The sequence below is a fragment of the Homo sapiens genome, chromosome 1, assembly GCF_000001405.40.
Source record: "Homo sapiens chromosome 1, GRCh38.p14 Primary Assembly".
In the NCBI taxonomy this organism is placed as follows: Eukaryota; Metazoa; Chordata; class Mammalia; order Primates; family Hominidae; genus Homo; species Homo sapiens.
In genome coordinates, this window is record NC_000001.11 from 63466754 (window position 1) to 63480150 (window position 13397).

General features: G+C 44.6%; 1 protein-coding gene across 15 annotated transcripts in view, besides 1 other annotated feature; it reads right to left on the bottom strand.

Moving 5' to 3' along the window:
• ITGB3BP (integrin subunit beta 3 binding protein) overlaps positions 1-13397 on the bottom strand; it is an 88418-nt gene that overhangs the window by 25984 nt on the left and 49037 nt on the right. For all 15 annotated transcript variants that reach the window (NR_045147.2, XR_007058557.1, XM_047416577.1 and 12 more), the window contains one exon: positions 12011-12080. Coding sequence is in view for 13 of the 15 variants with exons in the window: in XM_047416577.1 (XP_047272533.1) it covers positions 12011-12080 (70 nt within the window). In the remaining 2 variants the exon portion in view is untranslated. The remainder of the gene's footprint in view (positions 1-12010; positions 12081-13397) is intronic.
• Positions 7303-8220: an enhancer, noted in NCBI's record as "NANOG-H3K27ac-H3K4me1 hESC enhancer chr1:63939727-63940644 (GRCh37/hg19 assembly coordinates)". NCBI's record gives its function as "activates a minimal SCP1, AML or CMV promoter by ChIP-STARR-seq in primed H9 embryonic stem cells {active_cell/tissue: H9 hESC(primed)}" and the evidence as "EXISTENCE:reporter gene assay evidence [ECO:0000049][PMID:30033119]".

Sequence of the window (13397 nt, forward strand, 5' to 3'; positions counted from 1 at the left end):
ACAGACTAGTTTTAACAGACAAAAAATACCTTACTTGTAAGCAGACATGCCTGTCCTAAATGTTTTATTAGGTAAGAATTTTACAAACATTATTTATATTAGTGGTAATGGAGTATTGCGCCTTCTCCAAGCTGCAGGGTGAGAGCCACCAAGAGTGTGGTGGAATTTATGGCCCTTCCAAGGCCATGGCTCTTTCGGCCTGCAGATGTCAGCCTCCACCTCCTGGGCTCAAATGATTCTCCAAACAGCCTCCTATGTAGCTGGGTCCACAGGTGCACACTACCATGCTCGGCTCATTTTTTTAGTTTTTGTAGAGATGGGGTCTCATTTTGTTGCCCAGGCTGGTCTCTAACTCCTTGCCTCAAGTGATCCTCCCTCCTTGGCCTCCTAAAGTCCTGGGATTACAGGCCAGTGATGGATATTGACTATTCACTAGCTTTTGCAAATAAGAAAATTTATTTAGAAACTTGTTTTGTAGTAGTTTATAATCATTAACATTTAGTGTTCTCATATCAGAAAATAGATTATTTGTTCTAACTGGCTAAGAATGTATTTTAAAAGCATCTTGCTTTCTAAATTATAGTTATTTTCTAGGGTTTTTTTTTTCTTTTTTTGAGACAGGGTCTCGCTCTGTCACCCAGGCTAGAGTGCATTGGCATGATCACCACTCACTGCAGCCTCCACCTCCTGGGCCCTAGTGATCCTCCCACCTCAGCCTCTCGAGTAGTGGGACTACAGGCACACCACCACATCCAGCTTGCTTGCTTGCTGATTGATTGATTGATTGATTGATTGAATGTAGAGATGGAGTCTCGCTATGTTGCTCAGGCTGGCCTTGAACTTCTGGGCTCAAGCGATCCTCCTACCTTGGCTTCCCAAAATGCTGAGATTACAGAAATGAGCCACTGTATCTTCTAGTTTTATAGACTCTATTAGACATATCTATAGGTCATACTGGCCATCATAATACCACACTGTGTTCTAACAACTTATCTAATGGGTAGGGGCCAAGGATGTTGTTAAGCAATCTATAATGTATAGGACAGCCTCTACCAAAAAGAATTACCCAACCCAAATGTCAACAGTGCTGAGATTGAGAAACCCTGAAGTAATCTTACATACTGTATCTTCTTTTATTGGTAAATGACTGAAGGTAAACATATTTATCTTTTAAGACAAAAAGGGGGCACTTATTGGAGGGATACTAGAGTATCTCCCATAATCAAAGGGAAGCTGAGGTTGAGCAAGGCTTAAGGAGCAACAGAAAGAAGCCAGAAGACAAACAGGACCCTGCCTAATGCCTCTCTTCTCTCTGGCTATGGGCTTCTTTCTCTCTCACTGCAAACCAGTTCATCTATTAATACATAGTAAAAAACATGGCTGCCAGTATCATCTTTGCTTGAAGATCTCCATCTGAGAAGTAGTCTCTTTTCCTACTTCCAATTTTATAAATTCTGTGAAATAACTGACTGACTGTGTTTAGGTCAGGTGCCTACCCCTGGACCAATCAACTGTCCAGGGTAGGGTCATGTAAGACTTTGGTAGTCTTTAAATAAAGAGCCACATTATTGGAATGGGGTAACGAGTGATTTAAAGAATGTTAATCCCAGCAGGAAGAGATGCTGGGCAGACAAAATAAGATAGTAAACCATAGTGTCAGTTACTCTAGTACAATGATTAAAAGAAGTCTGCAGCTGGGCACGGTGGCTCACGCCTGTAATCCCAGCACTTTGGGAGGCCGAGGCAGGCAGGTCACAAGGTCAAGATATCAAGACTATCCTGGCCCACATGGTGAAAGCCCGTCTCTACTAAAAATACAAAAAATTGGCCAGGCGTGGTGGCTTACGCCTGTAATCCCAGCACTTTGGGAGGCCGAGGCGGGCGGACCACCTGAGGTAGGGAGTTCAAGACCAGCCTGACCAACATGGAGAAACCCCATCTCTACTAAAAATACAAAATTAGCCAGGCGTGGTTGCGCATGCCTGTAATCCCAGCTACTCAGGAGGCTGAGGCAGAAGAATTACTTGAACCCAGGAGGTGGTGGTTGCAGTGAGCAGAGATCGTGCCATTGCATTTCAGCCTGGGCAATAAGAGCAAAACTCTGTCTCAAAATAAATAAATAAATAAATAAATAAATAAATAAATAAATAAGGTGGGCGTGGTGGTGTGTGCTTGTAGTCCCAGCTACTCGGGAGCCTGAGGCAGGAGGATTGCTTGAACCAGGGAGGTGGAGGTTGCAGTGAACCAAGATTGTGCCAGTGCAATCCAGCCTGGCAACAGAGTGAGACTGTTTCAAAAAAAAAAAAAAGTCTGCCCAACATAAAGCTTTGTGAGCTTAAGCTGTTATTTTACCTCTCTAAATGTCAGTTTCTTCACCGTTGTTAGGGCAATAACATTATCTACCTCACTGGGTTGTTAAGAGGATTAAATGTGATAATATATGCCTAAGACATGGCAAATATTCAATAATTACTAGCTATTATTACCCATGTTTACTTACTATGCTTTGTAAATCCTTAAGATGAAGATATCTCCTTTACTTATACCTACTTGACCATAAATTATTATTATTATTATTTTTTTTTTTTTTGAGACAGAGTCTTGCTCTTATTGCCCAGGCTGGAGTGCAATGGCACGATCTCGGCTCACCACAACCTCTGCCTCCCGGGTTCAAGCAATTCTCCTGCCTCAGCCTCCCGAGTAGCTGGGATTACAGACATGGGCACCATGCCCAGCTAATTTTTGCATTTTTACTAGAGACGGGGTTTCTCCATGTTGGTCAGGCTGGTCTCGAACTCCCGACCTCAGGTGATCTGCCCGCCTTGGCCTCCCAAAGTGTTGGGATTACAGGCGTGACCCACCATGCCTGACCCAAAATTATGTTTTAACCCCATGAACACTTATGGGCATATCTAAAGATACAAATGTCCTATAGAACACAGTTTGGAAAATGTCCCAGGCAAGGCCATGCAGTCCAAAAGTTAAAAATCTACTTAATCATATAACATGTCTGAAAAAATTGCTGGTGTTGTTCAAGACTGTTGGGAACAAGCCCCCCAAAATCTGGCCGTAAACTGGCCCTAAACTGGCCATAAACAAAATCTCTGCAGCACTGTGACATGTTCATGATGGCCGTAACGCCCACGCTGTAAGGTTGTGGGTTTACCGGAATGAGGGCAAGGAACACCTGGCCCGCCCAGGGCAGAAAACCACTTAAAGGCATTCTTAAGCCACAAACAATAGCATGAGCGATCTATGCCTTAAGGACATGCTCCTGCTGCAGTTAACTAGCCCAACCTATTCCTTTAATTCCTTTAATTCAGCCCATCCCATAAGGGATACTTTTAGTTAATTTAATATCTATAGAAACAATGCTAATGACTGGATTGCTGTTAATAAATACGTGGGTAAATCTCTGTTCAGGGCTCTCAGCTCTAAAGGCTGTGAGACCCCTGATTTCCCACTTCACACCTCTATATTTCTGTGTGTGTGTCTTTAATTCCTCTAGCGCCACTGGGTTAGGGTCTCCCCGACCGAGCTGGTCTCGGCACAAGACTTCATTTACATGAGAGTTTGGGAGTCTATTAGTATAGAAATAAAAGAAGAGACAAGGGTACACATAAGTGTACAGCTCATTCAATTGCAGTTAGTACCCAGATCACGAAAGAGAACACTGACAACATCCCAGAAACTAAGAATAACTACTAACTTTTAGCAGTATTGATTAGTTTTGGTTATTTTTATACTTCATACAAATGGAATTATACACTATGAAACCTTTTGTGTCTAGTTTTTTCCACATCCAACATTATGTTTGTGATATTCAGCCATTGTTGTTAGCTATAGATAATTTTCACTGTAGTCCATTAGATAAATACCATAATTTGTTTATCCATTTGACTGTTGATGGACATCTGGATATTTTCAAATTTGAGGTGACTAGGAATTAGACTGCAATGATCATTATGGTATTTGTCTTTGGGTAAATATATGTATACACTTCTGTTGGGTATATACCCTGAAGTGGAATTTCTGTGCCATAAGGTATGCATATATCCTGGTTTAGATGTTGCCAAACAGTTTCCCAAAGTGGTTTTCATCTACTTATACTCCCACCAGCAGTTTATTTGAGTTCCAGTTGTTCCACATTCTCACTCCAGAAGATCTACCCAGTATTTTCCTTCTTTTCTATTTTCAGCATTCTAGTGAGGATGTAGTGGTGCTTCATGGAGGTTTTAATTTGCATTTTCCCAGATGACACTTTCCAGCTGAGTACCTTTTCATATGTTTGCTGGTTTACATGAAAATCTGCTCTTGTGAAGTACCAATTAAAGTCTTTTGCCCATTTTTCTATTGGATTGTCTTGCAAATCTTTTCACGCTGGGCTGTACTTTCACACTCTAAAAAGTTTCTTTTTATAAAAAGGACTTTTAAAGCTGTTTAATTTATCCATTTTTTCCCCTTTTATTGTTGGCATTTTGCCTAATCCAAGGTCCAGTCCTCTAAAAGTTTTTTTTTTTTTTTTTTGAGACAGAGTCTCGCTCTGTCACCCAGGCTGGAGTGCAGTGGTGGCACGATCTCGGCTCACTGCAAGTTCACGCCATTCTTCTGCCTCAGCCTCCCAAGTAGCTGGGACTACAGGCGCCCGCCACCATGCCTGGCTATTTTTTTATATTTTTAATAGATACAGAGTTTCATTGTGTTAGCCAGGATGGTCTCTATCTCCTGACCTCATGATCTGCCCACCTCAGCCTCCCAAAGTGCTGGGATTACAGGCATAAGCCGTCGTGCCCAGCCCCTAAAAGTTTTATTCTTTTACCTTTCATATTCAGACTTCCAATCCACCTGGAATTGATTTTTGTGCATGGTGTGAGGGTAAGGGTCCAGATAAAATTTTTCCCATGCTGATAACAAATAACAGTGCTATCTTTTGTAGAGAAAAGGATATATACAACTAATTCAGCTAAATGAAGGTATCTGTTAAAACTTCTTACTCCCTTAATTCTACTTCTTAGATTGTGGAATATCTTTAAATAACTCTTTTTTTTTGAGATGGAGTCTCACTCTGTCACCCAGGCTGGAGTGCAGTGGCACCATCTCGGCTCACTGCAAGCTCCGCCTCCTGGGTTCAAGGGATTCTTCTGCCTCAGCCTCCTGAGTAGCTGGGACTACAGGTGCAAGCCACCACGCCTGGCTAATTTTTGTATTTTTAGTAGGGATGGGGTGTCACCATATTGGCCAGGCTGGTCTCAAGCTCCTAGACCTCGTCATCCGCCCGCCTCAGCCTCCCAAAGTGAATAACCTTTTTTTTTTTTTTTAAATCTGAACAGACTGACTTTCAGAAGAGGCTGTCCTGAGAAAACTACTGATATCAATAAAGTTCTCATAATAAATTGGCATTTCCATTATTTTTCGGTTTGTCCTAAGGCTGATTAGTATTCATTAATTCCTTATGCTTCAACATCTCATGGTGAGTTTCTAAATTTGTATAGTGTAGGACCAAACACTGAATCTACAGTGACTCCATCAAGGTACTGAAGCTACAGGAATTATTCTAGAAGCAGATGCCTTGCTTCGTCTCTGGTATCTCTCCTAGCTATGATATTTTTGCAAAAAAAAAAAAAAAGAATATTGCCAAAACAAAACATAAAATGTTATGATCATTTAAAACTGATCCACCCTCTCCCTCTCCCTCTCCCCTCTCCCCTCTCCCCTCTCCCCTCTCTCCTCTCCACGGTCTCCTTCCATGGTCTCCCTCTGATGCCGAGCCAAAGGTGGACGGTACTGCTGCCATCTCGGCTCACTGCAACCTCCCTGCCTGATTCTCCTGCCTCAGCCTGCCGAGTGCCTGCGATTGCAGGCGCGCGCCGCCACGCCTGATTGGTTTTCGTTTTTTTTTTTTTGGTGGAGACGGGGTTTTGCTGTGTTGGCCGGGCTGGTCTCCAGCTCCTAACCGCGAGTGATCCGCCAGCCTCGGCCTCCCGAGGCGCCGGGATTGCAGACAGAGTCTCGTTCACTCAGTGCTCAATGGTGCCCAGGCTGGAGTGCAGTGGCGTGATCTCGGCTCGCTACAACCTCCACCTCCCAGCCGCCTGCCTTGGCCTCCCAAAGTGCCGAGATTGCAGCCTCTGCCCAGCCGCCACCCCGTCTGGGAAGTGAGGAGCGTCTCTGCCTGGCCGCCCATCATCTGGGATATGAGGAGCCCCTCTGCCTGGCTGCCCAGTCTGGAAAGTGAGGAGCGTCTCTGCCCAGCCGCCATCCCATCTAGGAAGCGAGGAGCGCCTCTTCCCCACCGCCATCCCATCTAGGAAGTGAGGAGCGTCTCTGCCCGGCCGCCCATCGTCTGAGATGTGGGGAGCACCTCTGCCCTGCCGCCCTGTCTGGGATGTGAGGACCGCCTCTGCTGGGCCGCAACCCTGTCTGGGAGGTGAGGAGCGTCTCTGCCCGGCCGCCCCGTCTGAGAAGTGAGGAAACCCTCTGCCTGGCAACCGCCCCGTCTGAGAAGTGAGGAGCCCCTCTGTCCGGCAGCCACCCCGTCTGGGAAGTGAGGAGCGTCTCCGCCCGGCAGCCACCCCGTCCGGGAGGGAGGTGGCGGGGGGTCAGCCCCCCGCCCGGCCAGCCGCCCCGTCCGGGAGGTGAGGGGCTCCTCTGCCCGGCCGCCCCTACTGGGAAGTGAGGAGCCCCTCTGCCCGGCCAGTCGCCCCGTCCAGGAGGGAGGTGGGGGGGTCAGCCCCCCGCCCGGCCAGCCGCCCAGTCCGGGAGGGAGGTGGGGGGTCAGCCCCCCGCCCGGCCAGCTGCCCCATCTGGGAGGGGGGAGGGGGGGTCAGCCCCCTGCCCGGCCAGCCGCCCCGTCCGGGAGGGAGGTGGGGGGGTCAGCCCCCCGCCCGGCCAGCCGCCCCGTCCGGGAGGGAGGTGGGGGGATCAGCCCCCTGCCTGGCCAGCCGCCCCGTCCGGGAGGTGAGGGGCGCCTCTGCCCGGCCGCCCCTACTGGGAAGTGAGGAGACCCTCTGCCCGGCCAGCCGCCCCGTCCGGGAGGGAGGTGGGGGGGTCAGCCCCCCGCCCGGCCGGCCGCCCCGTCCGGGAGGTGAGGGGCGCCTCTGCCCGGCCGCCCCTACTGGGAAGTGAGGACCCCTCTGCCCGGCCAGCCACCCCGTCCGGGAGGGAGGTGGGGGGGTCAGCCCCCCGCCCGGCCAGCCGCCCCGTCCGGGAGGGAGGTGGGGGGATCAGCCCCCCACCTGGCCAGCCGCCCCGTCCGGGAGGGAGGTGGGGGGATCAGCCACCCGCCCGGCCGGCCGCCCCGTCCGGGAGGTGAGGGGCGCCTCTGCCCGGCCGCCCCTACTGGGAAGTGAGGACCCCTCTGCCCGGCCAGCCGCCCCGTCCGGGAGGGAGGTGGGGGGGTCAGCCCCCCGCCCGGCCAGCCGCCCTATCCAGGAGGTGAGGGGCGCCTCTGCCCGGCCGCCCCTACTGGGAAGTGAGGAGCCCCTCTGCCTGGCCAGCCGCCCCGTCCGGGAGGGTGGTGGGGGGGTCAGCCCCCCGCCCGGCCAGCCGCCCCATCCGGGAGGTGAGGGGCGCTTCTGCCCGGCCGCCCCTACTGGGAAGTGGGGAGCCCCTCTGCCCGGCCACGACCCCGTCTGGGAGGTGTGCCCAGCGGCTCATTGGGGATGGGCCATGATGACAATGGCGGTTTTGTGGAATAGAAAGGCGGGAAGGGTGGGGAAGAAATTGAGAAATCGGATGGTTGCCGGGTCTGTGTGGATGGAAGTAGACATGGGAGACTTTTCATTTTGTTCTGTACTAAGAAAAATTCTTCTGCCTTGGGATCCTGTTGATCTGTGACCTTATCCCCAACCCTGTGCTCTCTGAAACATGTGCTGTGTCCACTCAGGGTTAAATGGATTAAGGGTGCGAGATGTGCTTTGTTAAACAGATGCTTGAAGGCAGCATGCTCGTTAAGAGTCATCACCACTCCCTAATCTTAAGTACCCAGGGACACAAACACTGCGGAAGGCCGCAGGGTCCTCTGCCTAGGAAAACCAGAGACCTTTGTTCACTTGTTTATCTGCTGACCTTCCCTCCACTATTGTCCTATGACCCTGCCAAATCCCCCTCTGGGAGAAACACCCAAGAATGATCAATAAAAAAAAAAAATAAATAAATAAAATAAAAACAAAACAAAACAAAAACAAAAACTGATCCACAAATGTGAAATGTTGTTTATTGATTGATTCACTGATTGATTGAGATGAGGTCTCACCCGGTCGCTTAGGCTGGAGAGTAGTGACATTATCACAGCTCACTGCACCCTCAACCTCCTAGGCTCAAGTGATCCTCCCACCTCAGCCTCCCAAGTAGCTGGGATCACAGGTGTGCACAACCACACCCACCTAATTTAAAAAAAAATTTTGTAGAGACAGGGTCTGGCCATGTTGCCCAGGCCGGTCTCAAACTCCTGGGCTCAAGCAAATTGCTTGCCTCAGCTTCCCAAAGAGCTAGGATTACAGGCATGAACCACCATGCCTGGCAATATTCCATTTAATTTGAGATTTACAAAATCCAAGTCTTCAGGCTGAGGCAAGAGGATCGCTTTAGCCCAGGAGTGCAAGTTCAGCCTGGGCAACATGGCAAGAAAACATCTCTACAAAAAAATAAAAGAATTAGCCAGGGGTAGTAACATACCTGTACTTCTAGCTACTCAGGAGGCTGAGGTGGGAGGATAACTCGAGCCCAACAGGTTAAGGTTATAGTGGGCTATGATTGTGCCACTGCACTTCAGCATGGGTGACAGAGCATGACTCTGTTTCTTAAGAAAAACAAAAAATCCAAGTCTTTATGCAGTGGTTTTAAAAAATAAAAGAAATCTAAACAAATGGAATAAAGAACCTATTACTAAAGATAAAAATGGCTTTATTAGCTAGAACTGAGTTATTTTAATGAATGAAAAAAACAATCAGAAATGCATCCTGGCCAGGTGCGGTGGCTCATGCCTGTAATCCCAGCACTTTAGGAGGCTGAGGCGGGCAGATCACCTGAGGTCAGGAGTTCGAGACTAGTCTGGCCAAGAAGGCAGAACCCGGTCTCTACTAAAAATACAAAAATTAGCCGTGCATGGTAGCGGGTGCCTGTAATCCCAGCTACTAGGGAGGCTGAGGCAGGAGAACAGCTTGAGCCCAGGAGGCGGAGGTTGCAGTGAGATGAGATTGTGTCATTGCATTCCAGACTGGGTGACACAGCAAGACACTGTCTCAAAAAAAAAAAAAAAAAGAAACGTATCATTTTCTTTTTTTTTTTAAGAGATGGTCTCACTGTGTTACCTAGGCTGGTGTGCAGCAGCTATTTACAGGAGGGATCACAGTGTACTACAGCCCTGAACTCTTGGTCTCAAGCAATCTTCTTTCCTCAGTCTCCTGATAGAAATACTTTTTTTTTTTGAGACAGAGTCTTGCTCTGTCACCCAGGCTGTAGTACAGTGGCACGATATCAACTCACTGCAACCTCCCCATCCCAGGTTCAAGTGATTCTCCTGCCTCAGCCTCCTGTGTAGCTGGGACCACAGGCGCCTGCCACCATGCCCAGCTAATTTTTGTATTTTTAGTAGATAATAATGGGCACCCGGCCTATTATTTTTATATGTTGTAAAATGTCTCAGCTCTTACTTAAACTCACTAATTATAACACCAATTCATGGAGTGATATACTTAAATAACAGAGATCTTTAGAAACAAATATGGAGAGAAATTAATAAATTAAGTAAACATAGGCAAATTCCTATGTGACTCATAACAATGATTCTTGCTCTTCCCTTGCTCCTTGAAGCCCACTGCCATGGGAGCTATTGTTTTAAAAGTCTAAGCTCTAAATAAATTGATGGGTTTACAAGAAGAAAGAAGGAAAGACACTATTAAGTTTAAGTGGACCTGATTCAGGGAGAAAAACAACAGGCTTGATTATCTGGTATCACTTTTGTCCAACAACATTTCCTCCTTTGCTGCCTATTTACATTTTATATAACTGCACCAGAAATTAATTTGGTTTAGCAGGCACCTGCTGTCAAATACAAGATTATCTGTAATTTTTAAATTTTTACTTGCTACTTGCTTTCACTGTATATCCTTTTGTATAATTTGAACTTTTTCCTGTGTACATATATTTCCTATGTTAAAAAACATTAAATAAGTTAAACAAAAAAGAATGCTTTCCTGTTAATATCTAGTTGAGATCAGTTCACTGAGGAAACAAAAGCTTTGATTAGGAGTAGGAAGAAATAATTTACAACAAAAATATTTGTGGGGCAGAAAAGACTGAAACACGCAAATATTTGGAGCTGGAGGAGCAGCATGTCGAGGGAAAACAGCTACTAAAAGCAAACAGAGGACAGATGGAGGAGATGCCAAACAATGAGGCTTCTTTGAAAAACTCTTCTCTTTGTCCCTAAAGTATTTTAAATGGCACTCAGTTTCCACATCTTTTAATCTGGACTACTACCAAAACTATATAGTTCAGCTATATTATGAAATAAATAGATCTGTGCCCTGACTTGGGGCTGTAGCCACAGATTATAACACTATTTGCATGGAAAATGCATTCTGAGTTCCATGTAAATGACTCCAAAAACATTTGTAAACATAACCCATTTCTAAATTGAGGAAGGTATATTAACTTACAGCATAAGATCATAAGCTCCCAGGCTGCATGCAGTATCTCACACCTGTAATCCCAGCACTTTGGGAGGCCTGGGCGAGTGGGTCGCTTGAGCCCAGGGGTTCAATACTAGCCTGGGTAACATGGCGAAACTCCGTCTCCGAAAAAATACACAAAAATTAGTAGGGCGTGGTGGCGTGGACCTGTAGTCTCAGCTACACAGGAGGCTGAGGTGGGAGGATTGCTTGAACCCAGGAGGTTAAGGCTGCACTGAATGGCGATCACACCATTGTGCTCCAGGCTGGGCAACAGAGTGAGACAATCAGGGAAAAAAAAAAAAAAGATCATAAGCTCCCAATGGGGAAAACTTCATTTTCCTTCTCTTTACTCTTTAGTGTCCATTGGTGTGGTACATAGAAGATACACTGAAATGGTAAATGAGCTAAACATATGCACTACTTTGAAAATTTAACCCCTGTTCTGCTTAATTCAATCCTTCCAGGAAGAAGATACAAATACAGCTGTCCCTCAATATCTGTGGAGAATTGGTTCCAGGACTCCTGCAGATACCAAAATCCATGGAGGCTCAAGTCTCCTATATAAAATGGTGTATCTGCATATAACCTATGCATATCCTCCCATATACTTTAATCATCTCTAGATTACTTATAATACCTAACACAATGTAAATGCTATATAAATAGTTGTTATACTATATTGGTTTAGGAAATAATGGCAAGAAAAAAAAGTTTGTATATGTTCAGGACAGAGGCAACCATTCATTTTTTTCTCGAAATATTTTCAATTTGTCATTGGTTGAATCCACAAATGTGTAATACACAGACATGGAGAGCCATCTGTATTCTTCCCAGATTTTTCCTACGTAGACTTTCTGCAGATAATGTCTTCATTCAAAGGAACCACCAGCAGGACAATTTGAAAATGATTGGTTGCTCGCATGTAGGCCTTCCAGGTTCCTCTAGATCTCTCACTCTGCTGGCTTCACTGTTTCTAGCTCCATCCTGAACCAGCTATTTGTTAAGACACTTTGTTCCTAAACCACGCATTACTTCTCCATCCATGTAAATCTGAAATAAGTGTCTTCCTCAGTTTTACCCTGCGCTGGTCTATTACGCATAGGCTCGGAGAACAGGGCTCAATGAGTATTAAAATTAAGGCATCATATATAACCATTATAGAACATCACAAACCACATCACAACTAAGGTATTCTACTTACTTAAGAAAGAATATTTCAGGTCAGGTATAAACTATTAATTTCTACAAATAAATGCTTTTAAACGGTCACTTTAACAAATATGAACGTCTTTCTGCAAGATACACATATATAATTTCAAAAATAACAAACTTACTCATCATTGTCTTTTGTTGTAGATTCTTTGCTTTCAGTTAAACTGGGGTGATTCAATTTTTTTCTCTTTTCTATATATGTGTAATAAAGAAAAGGACATAAAGTTAAAGGAGAAATCATCAAATTTTAAATAGAATTTAGTTTGTCAAATTTTAAATAGAAAGTAAAAAGGACAAATGGAAGGGAGGTGGGCAAAGAAAAAGTATCCTATTTTGTTTTTTTTCATTTCCCATTTTCCTAATTTCTTACTCACAATACCATATAAGAAAAAATAATCTTTTGAATAAAATTTCCACTGAAGGTTGGTATATTAAAGAGAAATCAAATATGATTCTATAATTAGGTTAAAATGCATTAGTAAACTTTATTAGATAAAGGATACTTTCATCAAATATTTTAATCAATGATATCATATAAAGGCTTCCAGTTTGCATTATTCCACCTTTATTTTTTTTCTCAAGTTAACAACAAGGGATTGGTGATACCGATACTCAGAAAATAGTTAAGTTCCTCGTAATATCATTGTAAAATAAATTTGATTTTAGGGGTAAAAGTACCTTTTAATTTTATTTTTAAACTGACACAATATTTACAGTGTATAACATGTTCTGAAATATGTATATATTGTGAAATGGCTAAATCAAACTAGTTAACATATCTATTACCTTACATGCTTATCATTTTTTATGGTATGAACACTGAAAGTCTACTCTCTCAGCAATTTTCAAGTATATAATATGTTGTTATTAATTACAGTCAATTATACAATAATTGAACTTGTTCCTCCTGTTTAGCTGAAATTTTTTATCATTTGGTCAACATGTTCCCAATCACTCGGCCCTCCCGACCAGCAGAACTTGGTAGTCACCATTCTATTTTCTGTTCTATGATTTTGACTTTTTTAGATCCCACTTATAAGTGAGATCATGTGGTATGTGTCTTTCTGTGCCTGGCTTACTTCCCTTAACATAATATTCTCCAGGTTCATTCATGTTGTCCCAAGTGGCAGGATTTCCCTCTTTTTAAAGGTTAAGAGCATTCCACTGAGTATATATACCATATTTTCTTTATCCATTCATGTGTTCATGGGCACTTAGGTTGATTCAGTATCTAAGCTATTGTGAATAATGGTGCAATGAACATGGGAGTCCAGATATTTCTTTGACATACTGATTTAATATCCTTTGAATATATACTCAGTAGTGGGATTGCTGGGTCATATGGTAGTTTTATTTAAATTTTTTGAGGACCTGAATCTTTAAATGCATATTTATTTAGTAAATCCTTGGAAAGATCTAAGTATATCACTCATTATTTATTTAAGATAACAATAAAATAAATAAATGGTTACCTTCCATTTAAAATGCCATGTAGTTATCCAAGGTCAT